At 35.4% G+C, this 20,430-nt stretch overlaps 1 protein-coding gene across 1 annotated transcript in view, besides 1 other annotated feature; it reads right to left on the bottom strand.

Annotated features, from left to right (window-relative positions):
* The window catches only part of CR1 (complement C3b/C4b receptor 1 (Knops blood group)), a 145,609-nt gene that overhangs the window by 31,509 nt on the left and 93,670 nt on the right, over positions 1-20,430 (bottom strand). Inside the window, exons 36-37 of the mRNA NM_000651.6 lie at positions 2,921-3,006; positions 569-967 (exon numbers count right to left, since the gene is read on the bottom strand). Of these exons, the coding sequence (NP_000642.3) occupies positions 569-967; positions 2,921-3,006 (485 nt within the window). The remainder of the gene's footprint in view (positions 1-568; positions 968-2,920; positions 3,007-20,430) is intronic.
* Positions 9,291-9,849: an enhancer, noted in NCBI's record as "NANOG hESC enhancer chr1:207773753-207774311 (GRCh37/hg19 assembly coordinates)". NCBI's record gives its function as "activates a minimal SCP1, AML or CMV promoter by ChIP-STARR-seq in naive H9 embryonic stem cells {active_cell/tissue: H9 hESC(naive)}" and the evidence as "EXISTENCE:reporter gene assay evidence [ECO:0000049][PMID:30033119]".

Below are 20,430 nucleotides of genomic sequence, written 5' to 3'. Positions count from 1 at the left end.
TGTGTGTGTGTGTATATACATATATATATATTTGTTTGGATTTGAGCAAAACACTTTTTCTGAGCTTCAGTCTTTTCAATTATAATGAGAAAAAGTTGAAGTTGAAGTCCAAGGCCTTTTTGATTTGATGCTCTCATTTTGGTCCTCATGGCTCACTTGCCTACTGCCCCACTCCAGGGATAGAGATACGATCATCACTATTACACATTATTGTTCATGATACATTCCACTGTACATTATGATTAGGCTCTGGAGTCAGAGCCTTGGAAAAGTTCTTTAATATCACTAAGACTCAGTTCTCTCAAAGTAAAATGGGGATACCAATAGTAGCTACTTCATATATTTGCTGTAAATGTTAAATTCAAAAATGCATCTAAAATATGTCTACTATAGATGAGAGAATAAGCCATTACTTTGAGACAATTATTAACAGAGATAACAGACAGTGAAGCTACTATTATGTTTATGCCAATTTCATAGTCCTTATACACTTCTTCCTTAATTTCAACAACTCCTATCATCTATACGTACCCTCACACCCAGCAAAGTCTTGATGGGTCACACTCACCCCTGGAGCAGTGTGGCAGCTTGGGCCCCCATCTGCCATTGGTCTGGCACTGCACAGTGTGGGACCCTACCATGACAAACCCGGGCTGACATCTAAATCTGATGATCTCAGTGAGGGTAAAGAAACTCCTGTTTCCTGGTACTCTAATTGCATTTTCAACTTCTGGAGCTGTGCATTTATTAGTAGAAATACACCGAGGGGGAGGGCTGCTCCAAACACCAACTTGATCATCTTTGCTGGTGCAATATATTGACCGTTCTCCCACAAGCTCAAACAGCTGTTCTCCATCTGGTCCAGTGTGGCACTGGTAAGTTACCACCGTTCCATTGTGAAAAGATGTTCTATTGTTGCTGTAGAAGTCTCCATTGGATATGGTTGGAGGTGGCTCACAAGATATGACTGAGAGAAGGAAGAGTATGGTAAAACAGCTTATTTTTTAATAATGAATTATTTTACTATGAATTTAAATACCAAATGCAAATAATCCAATGATTTTCTAAATGGAATTACAATACTGTTATTTTCTTAAAATATTTGCTAATAATCAGACATTTTTACCTAGTTGAAATTTAGGTGTGTATGATATGGGTTCTGCTCATATTTCACAAAAAAAATCCATGTTTTTTTGGGTTTATATATTTATAATTTTAAGTGGATAATACATGTGATTTTATCACAGATTGTTAAGGTACTTATCTATTGCTGGACTATTTTTTCCTATAGGTTATTAAAATAACCTCTTTGCAGTTTAAATATACCACTTCTGGCATTATTTATGAAGAAAAAGAGAGAAAAGGAAACACAAAAGATAAGGCATGAGAAATGAAATAATGGCAGATTTAAGGGCAATAAAATGATAAATGAATACTGTGTTCTATCATAAGATAATAATATTCACATATTGGCTAAGTGACTACACACATATACACACATAACCAGTATTGACTCAATTAAATGATCACTGACCTATAAATGTAGAAGTGGAAATTTTTTTATAAAAGATAACCCCCTACAAAAGGTGCCATGCCTTGAAAACTTTGTATAGTAAACTGATAATTCTTTGATAATTTGAATTATTTCATAGAATTTCAAGTTCTTGGCAGATATGGGAGGCACCTTGTATACATTCTCATTCATTTAATGTTTAAAAGTCAATGTTAATTTGGGGGGGAAGAATATTAGTGACTACAATGAACACATTCATTGTAGGAAATTTATAAAATATGGACAAAGAGAAAGAAGAAAGTGAAAATGGTTCAAAGATAACTATTTGTAACAATTTAATTATATCCTCTTAGATACATATGTGGATACATGCATATGTATGGATGGATATATTTTCTATACTACCATATTTGGTGGCTGAATAATAATCAGTCATGTAGCTACATAGATGTACTTTTTCCACTTGGATGAGGCATCTCAACCTTTAATTCCTCCTGGTGCACTTTTTTACCTTTCCGAAAAACTGATAGCCATTAAAATATGCCTTATTTCTTCTACTAGCTATTTTCAAACCATGCTGAACATTTAGGTTGTTTAACATTTTCCACTATCACAAATATTATTGCATTGAGTATCTCTGGACCAAAATCATGGGACTATTTCATGATTATTTTCTTGGGCTAAATTCTGGGAAATGGAATTGTCAGTCAGAGGGTATTTACTTTACTTTTGTTTATATTGGTCATTAGCTTTCTGGAAGTCTGTGCCTACTTTTGCTGCCATCAACTCTGTGTGCGATGACGACTTCTTCACAGCTATAACACTTTGCCAATTTGCAATCATTCTTCCATGGTTTTAAAGTTTTGGAGATTCATTGAAAAATATCTTATGGGAAAAATGGAGGGTCAGCTAATCGAGAACAAATACAACTGAAGACATGGGCCTAAAAGAATTGAAGGAGGATTAGAACTCAAAATGATCAGAGGCTTAGGAAAATTGCTAAGAACTGGAAGAAGAGTTCTTTTTATTATTTGGATTAGAATAACAAGAAAGTGAGTAGCCTACTTTGTGGAATTGTAACCTGATAGATAGTAAGAGTTGGCAAAGACAGATCTAATTTTGTCTAACGCCTTTAAAATGTACTCATTAAGGACAACACTCTCTATACTGGAAATATTTACTATTATAATGGGAAAGTAGGGTATTTTGCCTAGGTTCAAGCCCACAGTTTCAGATAAATCACCTTTTAAGATAAAGAAAAGCCAGGAAGACCATGAAGCATCTGACTCCTATTTTCAAATATCTGAGAGACTACTTTGTGCAAGAAGGATTCAATTTATTCTTTGTACTCCAGGGGCAAGTCAGGATCACACAGAGGAATTTGTGGAGAAAAGTATTTCAACTTACTCTCACAAATAGGTGCCTTCTTATCCCATGTGACATTATTGCCTGAGACGAGACAAGTAGTAGATGGGGAACCAATGAGTCGAAACCTAAAGCAAAGGATAGAAAATGGTTATACGCTACACATATTTCCCATTTAACTCACCATTTAGAAAATAATAGCAGGTAGACATTAGACATTACAGGACAGATTACACCATGGCAGACCTCGGAAGGAAGAAACCCCATCTCCATCTGCAAATTAGTCCTTTCTTTTTGAGGACAAGCTTACATTTTGACCTCTCCAATTCATTTTTATTCCTAATCCCTCACAACTGAATGAGATATTTCCCTTTTTCTTTGCAGGACATTTTTGTACTTAAGTCTTTCAGAAACCTTGCAGTTATTTTATCCATGTGTACTTCCAGCAAGGAAATGACAAGCTCCTGGATTAAGCAGGGAAAATATCTTACTGAAATATTTAACACTATAGCACCTAGCTTAGAGACTTTCAAGTTTTGGGTGCTCAGATAGTCTCTTGTATAAAAGAAAGAACAATGGATTTACCCAGAAGAGTCAGTAAATGAGAGCCAGAAGAGACAGCTAAACACCCCTACACTTGAAATGTAAAGGGTAGGGATACTCACCCACTTTACCTTAAAGCCATCCAGAGTAGGCCACAAAACGTAGAACATTTTGTCTTTTAAAAAATTTATTAGGTATCCATAATGTTACTGTGAGCAACGTCACAAAGAATGCTGAGCAAAGCTATTCATGTGTTCTGGTGTACAGCAGGCCTAAACTTGACCAAGTAAAAATTAAAGGGTAAAATGGAATGCCATATAATGATGAGGCAGTAACTGCAACAGTTAAGAACTTTTCCTCTTGATTATGTAAGAAATGTGATCAGGGCAGTAACCATTTGTAGCAAAGACTACTGGTGCCATCCCTAGTATCCACTTTCCTCTCCTTCATTAGTAATGGAACCCTCTATTTTTAACTGGGCCATTGGCCACCTGCAATAAAGGTTTCACTTCTCACCTTTCCTTACAGCCGGGCATAGCCATGTTACTAACTTCTGGCCAGAGGATGTAAGTGGAGTGTCTTGTGCAACTTCTGGAAAGTGTCTTTAAAGGAATTGGCCTTCCCTTCTTCCCTGTGTCCTCTATACTGGCTGGAGTTTAGACCATGAGATAAGATGGGCTCTCATTTTGAAGAGGTCAGAGTAGCAAAGTGGAAGGAACCCAGGTTTCTGTGGATTATGGAGTCATCGTATAAACCCTGGACTGCCTACTTTCGTGATTTTTAACCTGAGACAGAAGTAAACTACTATCTATGTTTGAGATCCTGTTATTTTATTTCTTCTGTCTTTTACAGCTGGAAATCCTAACTGATATACCAGCTCTTCCCGAAACAGTGACAGAAAGCTAAAGGGAACTGTGTGACTATGGCAATGACCGTCAATGTTTTTGTAGACACAGTGAGTCTCTTTTACGTTTTAGGTACTGATTGAATTTTACTTATTGCTAGCCTGTTTAGGCTATGGTATACAATCTTTTCAAGTGTGCCAAGAAAAAAAATCTTAAAAATTGCTGCAATTAAACAAGTTGAGAACCACTGGAGAAAGGAAAGAAAAGGATAATCCCATTATTACCTGTGTTTTCCTCTGCCTGTCTCCTATCATACATTTAAAAGTTGTCTAAGAGCACAGGATCATGGGAGTCCTCTGACTTTTGGCCTCCTAGAGGTTGTTTTAGATGTGCTCGCTGTGACTAAGCTAGATTGTTGGAGCCAAAATGTGAAGAAGGTTCCAGCCTATGTATGGCTGAAAAAAACACAGTGAATATTTTTTAAAATCTGATTTTATTTTTATGAACAAACAATAATTGTATATATTTATAGGGTAAAATGTGGTGTTTTGATATATGTTTCTGTTGCAAATGATTAAATTAAGCTAATTAACATGTCCGTCACCTCTCATATTTGTTTTGTGTGTGTGTGTGTGTGTGTGTGTGTGTGTGTGGTGAGAATATTTAAAATCTACTCTTCTAGCAATTTTTTTTCCCTTTCTTTTTCTTTTCTTTCTTTCTTTTTTTTTTTTTTGACAGGGTCTGGATCTATCACCCAGGCTGGAGTGCAGTGATGTGATCTTGGCTTACTGCAACCTCTGCCTCCCAGGTTCAAACCATTCTCCCACCTTAGCCTCCCGAGTAGCTGGGACTACAGGTATGCGCTGCCATGCCTGGCTAATTTTTGTATTTATTGGTAGAGACAGGGTTTTGCCATTTTGCCCAGCCTAGTTTCTAACTTCTAGGCTTAAGCAATTCGTATGCCTCAGCCTCCCAAAGAGCTATAGGCATGAGACACTGTGCCCGGCCAGCAATTTGGAAATACACATTATTATTAACTATAGTCACCATGCTGTGGAATAGATCTCTGAAACTTACTCCTCCTGTCTAACTGAAACCCTGCGCCCTTTGACCAAATCTCAGCTCCCCACCTCTCAGTGCCTGGTAACCACCTTTCTACTCTCTACTTCTATGAGTTCAACTGTTTTAGATTTCACATGGAAGTAAGATCATGTGGCATTAGTTTTTCTGTGCCTAGCTTATTTTGGAAGGTATTTTAAGGCACAAAAACAGAAGGGATGTTAAAATGCATTTAAAATGTAAAATAATTGAAATGATGCAGGAATAGAGACACAGATCCCTAGAGCAAAATGGGGGAAAGCCCAAGAAATAGATACAAGTTTTTGTAAGAAATTGGCAGTGATAAAGATGGCATTTCAAGACACGGAAAACTGAATTATTCATTGATAGGGCAAATATCTGAAAAGCTAAGCTAGATCTCTGCCTCATGACATTCATCAAAGCAAAATCCGTGTGTATCAAAGATTAAATGTCAAAAATAAAACCATAAAAGAACTAGGTGATTTAGGCAAACGTGTTTCTGATTTGAGGCTTCTATAGACATACATTGAGGAAAAATTCTACTATGAACAAAACTGATAAAACTGAATAATTACAAATAAACCTTTCTACATACAAATTTGAAGACAAACCACAGAGGAAAAATAATAAAAACAACTCTTATACATCAATTATAAAAAGGCAAACACCCAAGTAGAAAAATGGTAAAGAATTATGAACAAATAATTTACAAACGAAAAATGGAAATAGTCAAATGAACATATGAAAAGTTTAGCTTCCTTATAAACATGATAAATACACTTTAAAATGCAAATAAAATGCCGTTTTTGCCCATTAGATTGGCAAATTGACAAAACCTAGCAGTAATATAAACTCAAAGAAAGAGTCACTGTTGTGACTCACTCCGTAGGTCATGGTCAAAGTTTAGTGGAGGGCACTTTGGCAATATGTACTGAAAGGCTTAAAATCGTGCATAGCCTTTCACTCAAATCTGCAAATCTTGTCTCTTGTGTACATGTGAAGATCTGAATCCTTAAGCTGTCTTTGAAGTTAGTGAAGTCCTCATCTCATTTCTTTTCACGTGTGCAGGATCGTGCATTGTAGTGTTTTTGCTAACAGTTGAAATGCGAAACCACTTTAATTCCAGACATTAAGGACTTTGTTAGGTAGGTTATGGACTATCCAAGTAATAACCAAAATGCAACCACTAAAAATGGTGTTGTAGAGTAATATATAATAATTAGAATAATTATACAATATAGTTCGTAAGTATTAAAGAGGGCTATAAAACCATGTACAGTGTAGTCGTTTGGCTTAAAATATATCTATATATAAAGATTTAAAGCTGTTAAAATCTTACTCATCTTTTCAGGAAAGGAAGTGCATTTGTTTGAGAAACTACTTGGAGAAAAAGTGGGGACTATATGCAGACAGAACAATTCTGTTAAGTACAGAAGTAAGATATTTATGATTCCAGACAGGGAGTCCTAGGGAAAGAGCCTAGGCTTCAATAAAAGAATTTTACAGACGTGGGACATCAGGTCAGGAAAAATTACAACATAATTACACTACAACATATTTGTGCCTTAAAATACCTTCCAAAATAAGCTAGGGACAGAAGAACTAATACCGCATGATCTTTCTTACATGTGAAATCTAAAATAGTTGAACTCGTAGAAGTAGAGAGTAGAAAGGTGGTTACCAGACACTGAGAGGTGGGTATCAAACCCACCTCTGATCTGGTATCAAACACCCTTCTTGTTATTATCTCAGAATATTCTGTTGGTGGGTCTCATGACATTTACAGACATCTTGTCAAATTAAAAAAAAGAATGTCATTGAAACTGATTACATTAAATTTGCATACTAATTCAGGGATAATTAACATCACCACAACATTAAATCTTTTAAATAAAATATTATATCTTCCATTTCTTGAAGTATTTTTCTATGTCCCCCTCTTTTAAATCTTCTGCTTATAAGTCCTATATATTTCCTGTTAAATTTCTTTCTAGATGATTTTGTTTCTGTTGTGAATGGTATTTTTCCTCCTTATATTCTATTTGGTTGTTACCTACATAAAGAAAGTAATTAATTTATAAGTATTTATTTTTTACTCGATATCTCACTACCATTTCCTATTCTAATAACCTTTCAAATAATTCCTTCGGGTTTTCAGGTAAACAACCATCAGTTAATAATAAATTTGCCTTCTCTCTCTCTCTATCTATATCTATATGTATATCTCTCTAAATACAGGGGGCTGTCATTTTACTGGTTTGAATTTCCACAACTACTTTGAATAATAGGAAGGATGCCGAGTGTTCTTTTCCTTTGAACTTTAATTATATTCAAGCATGCTTTTAGATTTTAACCATTCATTGTGTTTTTTGGCATTAGAGAGTATATTTATATGACATTTAAGAAAAGTTGTACTCTTTAATATTGTAAGTTTGTGGGTTTCCTAATTTGGAACCATTTCTGGAATAACCTTACTTGTTCCCCTTGCATAATTCTTTTAATATTGGTTTTATTTAATAGTCAATTTAAGATTTTTAGTATTTATATTAGCAAATGAGCCAGAGATATATTTTATTTTATTTTCATTTGTAATCTTTGGCAAACTTTAATTATGGCTATAATTTTATTTCTATGTTCCATAACAGTTTAAATAATATTAATACTTGGATTATCTATTTCTTGAAGTTAAAAAAGAGTTACAAAACTGGGCCATTGTCTTTTTTTAAAGGTGCTTCTTTGTGGTGGTTTTAAATATGTCCACAAATTATTTTATACATGTCCCTTCAAGTGATGGAGCCCAATTCCTCTCTTTTTGAATGTGGGCTGTGCTTTGTGACTTGATTCTAATGATTAGAATAAAGTGGAAATGATATAGTGTGCAACTTCAGAGGCTAACCACAAAAAGCACTGCAATGTTTTCTTCTCTTTTTGAGATGCTCATTCTGGGAGAGGCCAGCTGTCCTTTGGAGAAGCCCATGTAGTGAGGAACTGAAGTGTCCTGCAGTCCAAGTCAAGAACAAAAGATACCACCAAGAGATTAAAAAGACAACCCACAGAATGATAGAAAATATGTGAAAACCCTATCTGATAAGGATTTAATACTTAGAACATATAAAGGACTCCTGTAACTCAATAACAATGAAACAAACAACCCAATTACGAAATGGACAAAGGATGAGAATAGACATTTTTCCAAAAAAGACATACAAATGGCCAATAAACACAAGAAAAGATGCTCCACATCATTAGTCATTAGGAAAATGTAAATCAAACTGACTTCAGCCCCTTTTAGGGTGGTATAATAATAATTTTTTTTAAACCAGAAAAATGACAAGTGTTGGTGAGGATGTAGAGAAATTGGAACATTTGTGCATTGCTGATGGGGATGTAAAATGGTACAGCAGCTGTGGAAAATAGTCTGGCAATTCTTTGAAAAGTTAAACAGAATTACCATATCCCCCAGGAATTCCACTTCTGGGTATATACCTAAAAGAATTGAAAATATGGACTCAAACAGATATGGGTTTATCAGCAATTCTGCCTATTTTAAACTACACCTGGTAAATTGTATTTTTCTTCTGACATGGTACATTTCATGGATAGTTTTAATTTTATTAGAATAGAGAAGATATAATATTTTTATCAAGTATTAAATCTCTTCAATATCAACAGGCTTATGTCTTCTTTCTCATTCTTGTATATTTATAGAATTGTTATTTTGTGAAATGACAATTGACCCAGTCTGTTTGTTTTATAATTGGTCACTTTAAAGAATCTGCTTTTAGATTTCTTTATAATTTCTATGATTTTTTCTTTGTTCATTACTTTATTAATTCCTTACTCCAGCAGCCTTTTATATATGTTTTTAATAATTTAAAAATTGTTAAGAAATGTTTTGTTCATTTATTTGAATTTTTTCCTGTCAAGTAACAAAAAGGATTGAAAAATTTCTCTGAGGACAGTTTTGGCATCAGCACCCCAGAAATTTTTATGAGTAATATATGTTTCAGCATTCCTAATTAAGAAGATAAATAATGTAAGGCTTACCATTACAGGTTGTTGAAGCTGACTGGCGATATTCTAATTCTAACCTCAACCTGTCACATGAATTTGGACAAATTAGTTAACCTGTCTGTCTCAGTTTTCTCTTCTATACAATGAGGGATATGCATGATATCCATTTCAAAGGGTCTTTTAAAGACTAAGTAAATCAATTCAAGTAAAGGACTTAGAAGAATGCTTGAGGCACATGCACTTGAGGATCATTAGCGATTGTTATTCTCCAGGTAATCTGCAATGGCTGTTTTTAAATTTCTCTTTGATCAAGATCTAAGGTACTCCGTTTTCTAAAACTTTGAATTTTTAATGTATCATTTGCTTATTAATTCCTAGTTTTTGGTGTATTGCGATGAGAAAATATACCCATTTTGATTTCTTCTATGTGCAAATTTATTGAGGTATACTCTGTGGAGTTATATCACTTTTATAAATGGTTTTTATAACTGTGATAAAGGTTTCAAAGTTGAACACACAAGAATCAAAGCAGCCTTATTCCTCAACATGTGATTATTTGTTCACTTATTTGCCCAATCTGAAGTTTTCAACTATTATTATTTTGCCAATTTGTATTTTTATTTATTTTAGAAAATTCTCTGACTTTGCATAATGACAAGAATTGAAGAAAAATAATGCTCTCAATCCCTTCATCTAACCGGAGATTGTCACCCTATGGCTCACAGGCCAAATTTGTTCTATAGCACGTATTTGTAAATGAAGTTTTATCAAAATACAATCACACATTCATTTGTCTAGGGCTATTTTTCCACTGCAATGGCAGAACTGAGTAATTGCAATAGAGATTGCATGGTCTGCAAAATTGAAAATTTTGCTATCTGGCTCTTGACAAAAAATTTTGCCGTCTCTTGCTCAAAACAATCTATGTTTCATTTGTCCAGGTTAACATCTACTCCTTAGTTATATGCTTAAGTTGCACTTGTTTTCAGAAATTTAACAACGTAATTGTATAACCTATATATTCACTTAGTATACCATGTATATTTTGTCACTCCCACCTCCATCTCAGGTGGTCCTGATTTTTCCAAACCCAATCAAACACACATATGTGTATAGGATATCTCCTCCAAATTTGTCATTATTTTTCCAAATTGAGAACAAACTCTATATGCTTTTCTGCAAATTATTTTTTTCTGTTGACATCACAACATGGTCACCCATTCAAATCACTAAACAGAGATCTAATTAAGTCTTCTTGATTGCTGCAAAATAGTTCATAGTAGACGTCTTATGATTTATTCAACCTACTGCTAATAGAAGGATGTCAAGGTTGTTTGCTCTTTTTGCTTATATAAACAATACTGCAATAAAGAACCTATTGTAATTAATACTCCTTTTCCTAGGAGTGGGATTAGTAGCTAAGAAGATATCTATGCTTTCATTGTTTGTGGATAGTGTAAGATTTTTTTTTGAAAGCTGCAGCAATTCACATTCCAATGAACCACTATGAGAGGGCTCCTTTTCCTCAAATTCCTATTTACCTCTACTTCCGTCTTTTAAACTTTTATTAATGTGACTGTGAAAACATGACATATTGTTGCTTTAATTTGCATTTCCCCAAACCATAGTGAAGTTGAGCTTTTTTGCTTAAATATTTATTTTAGCAATTTTTAAGGCCATTTTTATGTTTCCTTTTGTGAATTGCCTGTGCATATTCTTTCCTCATTTTTATATCGGGTTGTCTATTGCTTATCTACTGTTGTATGCTCTTAACTTTCTCTCGGTTTTACCTAATACAAATTTCCCTGCAGTCTATTTTCTGTTAACATACGGTGTATTTTTGCATACTAGAATTTTAATTCTCCCGTATGTCACTCTGTTGATACATAGATCTAATGGCCAATCTGGTTGGGATGGTGACCATCCTCTTTCTCCCTGAGCACTCCTTTCCTGGCCAGCCAGATGATCCAAGTTAATGCTGGCCAACTCCAAGATGCTGTGTATTTGGTCAGAGAAGACCTCCTTTCCAGTGGTGGGAGACAGTTCTTTAGGTAAGAGTACATGTGTTACAGAGCTCTGTCTTTGAAACAGCTGAATGAGCTCTTCTATATATCAGTATTTGTTTTATGTATTTCAATACGTTAGTTAGCGCTCTCTTGTTCAAAAGTTCTTGTCTTCAGGCCAGGCGCGGTGGCTCCCACCTGTAATCCCAGCACTTTGGGAGGCCGAGGCAGGCAGATCACGAGGTCAAGAGATCAAGACCATCCTGGCCAACATGGTGAAACCCTGTCTCTACTATAAATACAGAAATGAGCTCAGCGTGGTGGCGCATGCCTGTAGTCCCAGCTACTCGGCAGGCTGAGGCAGGATAATGGCTTGAACCCTGGAGGCGGAGGTTGCAGTGAACCGAGATAGTGCCACTGCACTCCAGCCTGGTGACAGAGCGAGACTCCATCTCAAAAGAAAAAAAAAAAAGTTCTTGTCTTTATTGTGCACTGGACCAAGTATCAATATCTTAAACAAAATTTTTAAATCTTATTTGATATGTTTTAAATTCTTATTTTTCTTATACTGTTATCTGTTTTTTTCTTTCCTAATATCACATGATATATTTAAAAATTTTTTTCTTTCTTATTGTTTTAAAAGAGATACAACATAAAATTTGCCATTAAAACCATTTTAAGGGTATAATTCAGTGGCATCAATGACATTCACAACATTATACAACCATTATCACTGCTTAGTTCCAAAAATTTTCACCATCCCAATGAGAAACTGGATGTATTGAGTTGTAACTCCCTATTCTCTCCTTCCACTGGTTATCTCTAATCTATTTTTAGTCCAATAAATTTTCTTATTTTTGGCACCTCATAAAAGTGGAATACAGTATTTATCCTTTTGTGTCTGGCTCATTTCACTTAGCATAATGTTTTTAAAGTTTATGCATCTTGTAGCATGTATCAGAACTCTATTCCTTTGTATAGCTGAAGAATATTCCATGGAATGGATAAGCTCCATTTCATTTATCCATTCATCTGCTCGTAGATACTTGGGTTGTTTCTACCTTTTGGCTATTTTGAACAAAGCTGCTACGGACATTGGTATTTGAGCATCTGCTTCAGTCCTTGTTTTCAATTTCTTTAGGTATATGCCTAGGAGCAGAATTGCTGGTTATATGGTAATTCTATGTTTAACTTTTTCAGGAATCATCAAACTGTTTTCCACAGTGCTACACCATTTTACATTTCCACCAGCAATGTATAAGCGTTCTAATTTCTCCACATCCTCGCCAACACCTTTTATTTCCTATTTTTTAAAAATATTATAACCATCCTAATACAAAACATCCTAGTACAAAGTCAGGTTGACTTGCACTTCCCTAATGACTAATGATGTTGAACATCTTTTGATGTGTTTATTGGGCATTTGTATATTTCCCTTGGAGACATGTCTATCACATCATTTGCTCATTTTCAGTTACTGAGTTTTCAGTGCACAGGTCTTGTGCCTCCTTGATTAAATTGATTCCTAAGTATTTTATTCTTTTTGGTGCTACTGTAAATAGGATTCTGACCATATTTAGAAGCCTTTGTCTTTCAAAAGGGGGGATTGGAATCATTCACATTTACTATTATAACTGATGAGTTTGATCTTATAGTGTTCTTTCCTTTTTATTTATTTAACAATTCTATGGGTTGGAACTCAGCACTGTACAAAACAAACTCCATTCTTGCTCTGCTAAATGGAGTTTGTTTTTTTTTTTGTAATACATAGTAGTATATTTTGTAATATAAAATATGTTATATTTAAATATTGTATATCATGTAAATAAAATTTATATCAATATTTTTATTGATATAAAATAATAGATTTTATCACTACAACTAGGAAGTTAGGAATGAAGTAAGAAAAACTATGATAAACTTATACTATGTAGGGGATACATATTCTTGATGTAAAAAATAAAGAGAAAATAGTACTTTACACCAGTATAAAATCAAAATATGTTAAAAATCAGATTTATATAATATTTTATATCAAATTTATATCATATTTATTATTTTTATAATATATATGAATTTTATGTTATATTATATATATATTATATATATACTTATGAAACCTTCCCCCTGTGCTTTGTACCGTACTTGCAATAGCCTTTTCCTATCTTTGCTTGAACATCATCAAGCCCTAGTTCTTAAACTTTTTTGGTCTCAAGAATTCTTTTCACTCTTAAACATTTTTGTTATTGTTATTGTTATTATTATTATTATTATTTTTTGAGACAGAGTTTCGCTCTTGTTGCCCAGGCTGGGGTGCAGTGGCACCATCTCGGCTCACTGCAACCTCCGCCTCCCGGGTTCAAGTGATTCTCCTGCCTCAGCCTCCCGAGTAGCTGGGATTACAGGCATGCGCCACCACACCTGGCTAATTTTGTATTTTTTAGTAGAGACAGGGTTTCTCCATGTTGGCCAGGCTGGTCTTGAACTCCCGACCTCAGGTGTTCTGCCCGCCTCAGCCTCCCAAAGTGCTGGGATTACAGGCATGAGCCACAGCGCCCGGCCACTTTAAGAAGTATTAAGGACCTCAAAGTGATTTTACCAATGGAGTTTATATCTGTTAATATTTATTATATTAGAAAGAAAAACTGAGGCATTAAAATACATGTATTAATTCACTTTAACGTAATAATGCTAGTTTCCCAAAAGAGAGACAGAAAGCTTGCTAGCTCTTGTTTCTCTCACCCCTCTTTTGTTTTATGGACCAAGTGGTTTCGCCCTTCTGATTATCTTTTAAAATTTGATTATATATATATATATAGATATAGATATAGATATATATAGATATAGATATATAGATTTTATACTGGTGTGAAGTACCATTTTCTCCTTATTTTTTATGTCAAGAATATGTGTCCCCTACATATGATAAGTTTATGATGGTTTTTCTTACTTCATCTCTAACTTCCTAGCTGAAGTGATAAAATCTATTTTTTATATCAAGTTTCTTCTTCTTTTCATATTACATGAATTATCTTTCAAGAATTAGTCCTGCTTTGATATTTTATTTCCATATTAAATAAAACAGTTTTAGTGACCCCATTTAACTAGTTTTGTGCCTCATTAATATTTCTTTGATACAACACCATTTGGAATTTTGATTTCTTCTTCAAAAAGAAAAACTCCCACAGCTTTGTGGGAGTTTTTCTTTTTGTAGGCAGTATATCTAACTGGTGTATGTTTGGGGTTCCTTCTTATTTAAGACGATGCATCTGTGCCTTGCAGATGAATGGCAGCTTGGCCGAGTACAGAAATTTTATTGTACAATATTTCCTCTCAAACACTAACTTCTACTACTTAGTGTTACAGAACGGAAGCTTGGTGCTAAGATGAATTTCTTCTTTTTTGTTATTTCTGGAGAGTGGCAGTATTTTTTTATATTTGGATGGCATAATTTTCTTCCATGTAGGGCCGGGGCCCATTGTTGTTAATCTTGATTTGTCTAGTAAGCCTTCAAGGATCAACTTAGTATTTTTCTTTATAGCCTGAGAAATTGTCTTCCATTATGTGCTAATTAATGCTTCTATTCATTCTGCTTTCTTTTATTTTTTCTGGAATTTCTATATTATATCCCTGTGTGTTTGTGTGTAGTGTGTTTGTGTGTATATATGTGTCATTTCAAGTCTGGTCCTTGATGAATTCTGGAGAATTCAATCTTGTCTTCATTATCCCTTTGGTGTTTTTTTTTTTTTTTTCCGGGGGTTGGGGGCAGGCTCCAATCTACCAGTCATCACTCCTTTTCCGACTCCCATGTGTTTCATTCAAATCTCAACTTTTCTGATATCAGATCATTAAATCTTATAAATGCCTCATATAGTTCCATCGATTCTATGTTACAAACACATATGAGAGATTTTTAAAGATTGTCCCCTGTTTATTGGAGGAAGCTGTTGTGCAGATGAATATTTCTCTGATCTCTTGGGTTGGTTTCTTTTATCTTCAATTTCTTTATCTTGCCTTAGATTTGGTGATATTTTGTTTTGTTTACCATAGGGAAATCTATGTTCATTCACAATGGGAGGTGAGAAAAGGTTGGGCAAGAGGTTGTGTGAAAAGCAGTTTAAATCGTCCAGGCTCAGACAGTCAGAAAAGAGGAATACTGACTCACTCTAGTGACAGAATAGGCTGATGACAAGGGGCAGTTAGTTGTTGCAGTAAAATTTAATATATATCATGTTTTTCCTCTCTGAATTTATCATGGCAACCAAAAATGAGTACACAGTCTTTTTTTTATTATCATACTTTAAATTCTGGGATACATGTGCAGGACGTGCAGGTTTGTTACATAGGTATACACATGTCATGGTGGTTTGCTGCACCATCAACCCATCATCTACATTGGCTATTTCTCCTAATGCTATCCCTCCCCTGGACTCCTACCCTCTGACGGGCCCCACTGTGTGATGTTCCCCTCGGTGTGTCCATGTGTTCTCATTGTTCAACTCCCACTTAGGAATGAGAACATGCGGTGGTTGGTTTTCTGTTCTTGTGTTAGTTTGCTGAGAATGATGGTTTCTAGCTTCATAAATGTCCCTGCAAAGGACATGAACTCATCCTTTTTTATGGCTGCATAGTATTCCATGGTGTATATGTGCCACATTTTCTTTATCCAGTCTATCATTGATGGGCATTTGGGTTGGTTCCAAGTCTTTGCTATTGTGAACAGTGCTGCAATAAACATACGTGTGCATGTGTCTTTATAGAAGGATGATTTATAATCCTTTGGGTATATACTCAGTAATGGGATTGCTGGGTCAAATGGTATTTCTGGTTCTAGATCCTTGAGGAATCACCACACTGTCATCCACAATGGTTGAACGAATTTACACTCCCACCAACAGTGTAAAAGCATTTCTATTTCTCCACATCCTCTCCAGCATCTGTTGTTTCCTGACTTTTTAGTGATTGCCATTCTAACTGGCCCAAGATGGTATCTCAATGTGGTTTTGATTTGCATTTCTCTAATGACCAGTGATGATGAGCTTTTTTTCATGTTTGTTGGCTGCATAAATGTCTTCTTTTGAGAAATGTCTGTTCATATCCTTTGCCCTCTTTTCGATAGGGTTGTTTTTTCTTGTAAATTTGTTTAAGTTCCTTGTAGATTCTGGATATTAGTCCTTTGTCATATGGATGGATTGCAAAAATTTTCTCCCATTCTGTAGGTTGTCTGTTCACTCTGATGATAGTTTCTCTTGCTGTGCAGAAGCTCTTTAGTTTCATTAGATCCCATTTGTCAATTTTGGTTTTTGTTACCATTGCTTTTGGTGTTTTAGTAATGAAGTCTTTGCCCATGCCTATGTCCTGAATGGTATTGCCTAGGTTTTCTTCTAGGGTTTTTATAGTTTTAGGTCTTACATTTAAGTCTTTAATACATCTTGAGTTAGTTTTTGTATAAGATGTAAAGGAAGGGGTCCAGCTTCAGTTTTCTGCATCTGGCTAGCCAGTTTTCCCAACACCATTTATTAAATAGGGAATCCTTTCCCCATTGCTTGTTTTTGTCAGGTTCATCAAAGATCAGATGGTTGTAGATGTGTGGCATTATTTCTGAGGCCTCTGTTCTGTTCCATTGGTCTATATATCTGTTTTGGTACCAGTACGATGCTGTTTTGCTTACTGTAGCCTTATAGTATAGTTTGAAGTCATGTAGCGTGGTGCCTCCAGCTTTGTTCTTTTTGCTTAGGATTGTCTTGGCTATATGGGCTATTTTTTGGTTCCATATGAAGTTTAAAGTAGTTTTTTTTTTTTTTTTTTTGTAATTCTGTGAAGAAAGCCATTGGTAATTTGATGGGGATAGCATTGACTGTATAAATTACCTTGGGCAGTATGGCCATTTTCATGATATTGATTCTTCCTATCCACAATCGTGAAATGTTTTTTTCATTTGTTTGTGTCCTCGCTTACTTCCTTGAGCAGTGGTTTGTAGTTCTCCTTGAAGATGTCCTTCACTTCCCTTGTAAGTTGTATTCCAAGGTAGTTTATTCACTTTGCAGGAATTTAGAATGGGAGTTCACTCATGATTTGGCTCGCTGTTTGTCTATTATTGGTGTATAGGAATGCTTGTGATTTTTGCATTGATTTTGTATCCTGAGACTTTGCTGAAGTTGCTTATCAGATTACGGATATTTTAAGCTGAGATAATGGGGTTTTCTAAATATACAGTCATGTCATATGCAAACAGAGACAATTTGACTTCCTCTCTTCCTATTTGAATACCCTTTATTCCTTTCTCTTGCCTGATTGCCCTGGCCAGAGCTTCCAATACTATGTTGAATAGGAGTGGTGAGAGAGGGCATCCTTGTCTTGTGCTGGTTTTCAAAGCGCATGCTTCCAGCATTTGCCCATTCAGTATGATATTAGTGGTGGGTTTGTTATAAATAGCTCCTATTATTTTGGGACATATTCCATCAATACCTAGTTTATTGAGAGTTTTTAGCATGAAGGGCTGTTGAATTTTATCGAAGCCCTTGTCTGCATCTATTGAGATAATCATGTGGTTTTTATCATTGGTTCTGTTAATGTGATGGATTACGTTTATTGATTTGCGTATGTTGAACCAGCCTTGTATCTCAGGGATGAAGCCAGCTTGATCGTTGTGGATAAGCTTTTTGATGTGCTGCTGAATTTTGTTTGCCAGTATTTTATTGAGGATTTTTGCATCAATGTTCATCAGGGATATTGGCCTGAAATTTTCCTTTTTTATTGTGTCTCTGCCAGGTTTTGGTATCAGGATGATGCTGGCCTCATAAAATGAGTTAGGGAGGAGTCCCTCTTTTTCTATTGTTTGGAATAGTTTAGAAGGAATGGTACCAGCTCCTCTTTGTACCTCTGGTAGGATTCAGCTATGAATCCATCTGTTCCTGGGCTTTTTTTGGTTGGTAGGCTATTAATTACTTCCTCAATTTCAGAACTTGTTTTTGGCCTATTCAGGGATTCGACTTCTTCCTGTTTTAGTCTTGGGAGGTTGTATGTATCCAGGAATTTATCCATTTCTTCTAGATTTTCTAGTTTATTTGCGTAGAGGTGTTTATAGTATTCTCTGATGGTAGTTTGTATTTCTGTGGGATCAGTGGTGATATCCCCTTTATCATTTTTTATTGTGTCTATTTGATTCTTCTCTCTTTTTCTTTATTAGTCTGGCTAGTGGTCTATTTTGTTAATCTTTTCAAAAAACCAGCTCCTGGATTCATTGATTTTTTGAAGGGTTTTTTGTTTCTCTATCTCCTTCAGTTCTGCTCTGATCTTAGTTATTTCTTCTCTTCTGCTAGCTTTTGAATTTGTTTGCTCTTGCTTCTCTAGTTCTTTAATTGCGATGTCAGGGCGTCGATTTTAGATCTTTTCTGCTTTCTCCTGTGGGCATTTAGTGCTATAAATTTAGTGCTCTAAACACTCTTTGGCTGTGTCCCAGAGATTCTGGTACATTGTGTCTTTGTTTTCATCGGTTTCAAAGAACTTACTTATTTCTGCTTTCATTTCGTTATTTACCCAGTAGTCATTCAGAGCAGGCTGTTCAGTTTCCATGTAGTTGTGCAGTTTTGAGAGAGTTTCTTAATCCTGAGTTCTAATTTGATTGTACTGTGGTCTGAGAGACTGTTTGTTATGATTTCCATTCTTTTGCATTTTGAGGAGTGCTTTACTTCCAATTATGTGGTCAATTTTAGAATAATTGCTATGTGGTGCTGAGAAGAATGTATATTCTGCTGATTTGGGGTGGAGAGTTCTATAGATGTCTATTAGGTCTGCTTGGTCCAGAGCTGAGTTCAGGTCCTGAATATCCTTGTTAATTTTCTGTCTCGTTGACCTGTCTAATACTGACAGTGGGGTGTTAAAGTCTCCCACTATTATTGTGTGGGAATCTAAGTCTCTTTATAGATCTTTCAGAACTTGCTTTATGAATCTGGGTGCTCCTGTATTGGGTGCATATATATTTAGGATAGTTAGCTCTTCTTGTTGCATCCTTTGCCATTATGTAATGCTCTTGTCTCTTTTGATCTTCGTTGGTTTAAAGTATGTTTTATCAGAGACTAGGACTGTAACCCCTGCTTTTATTTGCTTTCCATTTGCTTGGTAAATATTCCTCCATCCCTTTATTTTGCGCCTATGTGTGTCTTTGCACATGAGATGGGTCTCCTGAATACAGCACACCAATGGGTCTTGACTCTTTATCCAATTTGCCAGTCAGTGTCTTTTAACTGGGGGCATTTAGCCAATTTACATTTAATGTTAGAATTGTTATGTGTAAATTTGATCCTGTCATTATGATGCTGATTTGTTATTTTGCCCATTAGTTGATGTGGTTTCTTCATATTGTTGATGGTCTTTACAATTTGGTATGTTTTTGCAGTGGCTGGTACCAGTTATTCCTTTCCATGTTTAGTGCTTCCTTCAGGAGCCCTTGTAAGGCAAGTCTGGTGGTGACAAAATCCCTCAGCATTTGCTTGTCTGTAAAGGATTTTATTTCTCCTTCACTTATGAAGCTTAGTTTGGCTAGATATGAAATTCTGGGTTGAAAATTCTTTTCTTTAAGAATGTTGAATATTGGCCCCCACTCTCTTCTGGCTTGTAGGGTTTCTGCAGAGAGATTCACTGTTAGTCTGATGGGCTTCCCTTTGTAGGTAACCCGACCTTTCTCTCTGGCTGCCCTTAACATTTTTTTCCTTCATTTCAACCTTGGTGAATCTGACAATTACGTGTCTTGGGGTTGCTCTTCTCAAGGAGTATCTTTGTGGTGTTCTCTGTATTTCCTGAATTTGAATGCTGGACTGTCTTGCTAGGTTGGGGCAGTTCTCCTGGATAATATCTTGAAGAGTGTTTTCCAACTTGGTTCCATTCTCCCCGTCACTTTCAGGTACACCAATCAAACGTAGGTTTGGTCTTTTCACATAGTCCCATATTTCTTGGAGGCTTTGTTCATTCCTTTTCATTCTTTTTTTGTCTTCATGCTTTATTTCATTAAGTTGATCTTCAATCTCTGATATCCTTTGTTTCACTTGATCGATTCGGCTATTGATAC

This window comes from Homo sapiens, chromosome 1, assembly GCF_000001405.40.
Source record: "Homo sapiens chromosome 1, GRCh38.p14 Primary Assembly".
Taxonomy (NCBI): domain Eukaryota; kingdom Metazoa; phylum Chordata; class Mammalia; order Primates; family Hominidae; genus Homo; species Homo sapiens.
Note: the sequence above shows the minus strand (reverse complement) of the source record. Positions and strands in the feature narration are given on the sequence as shown.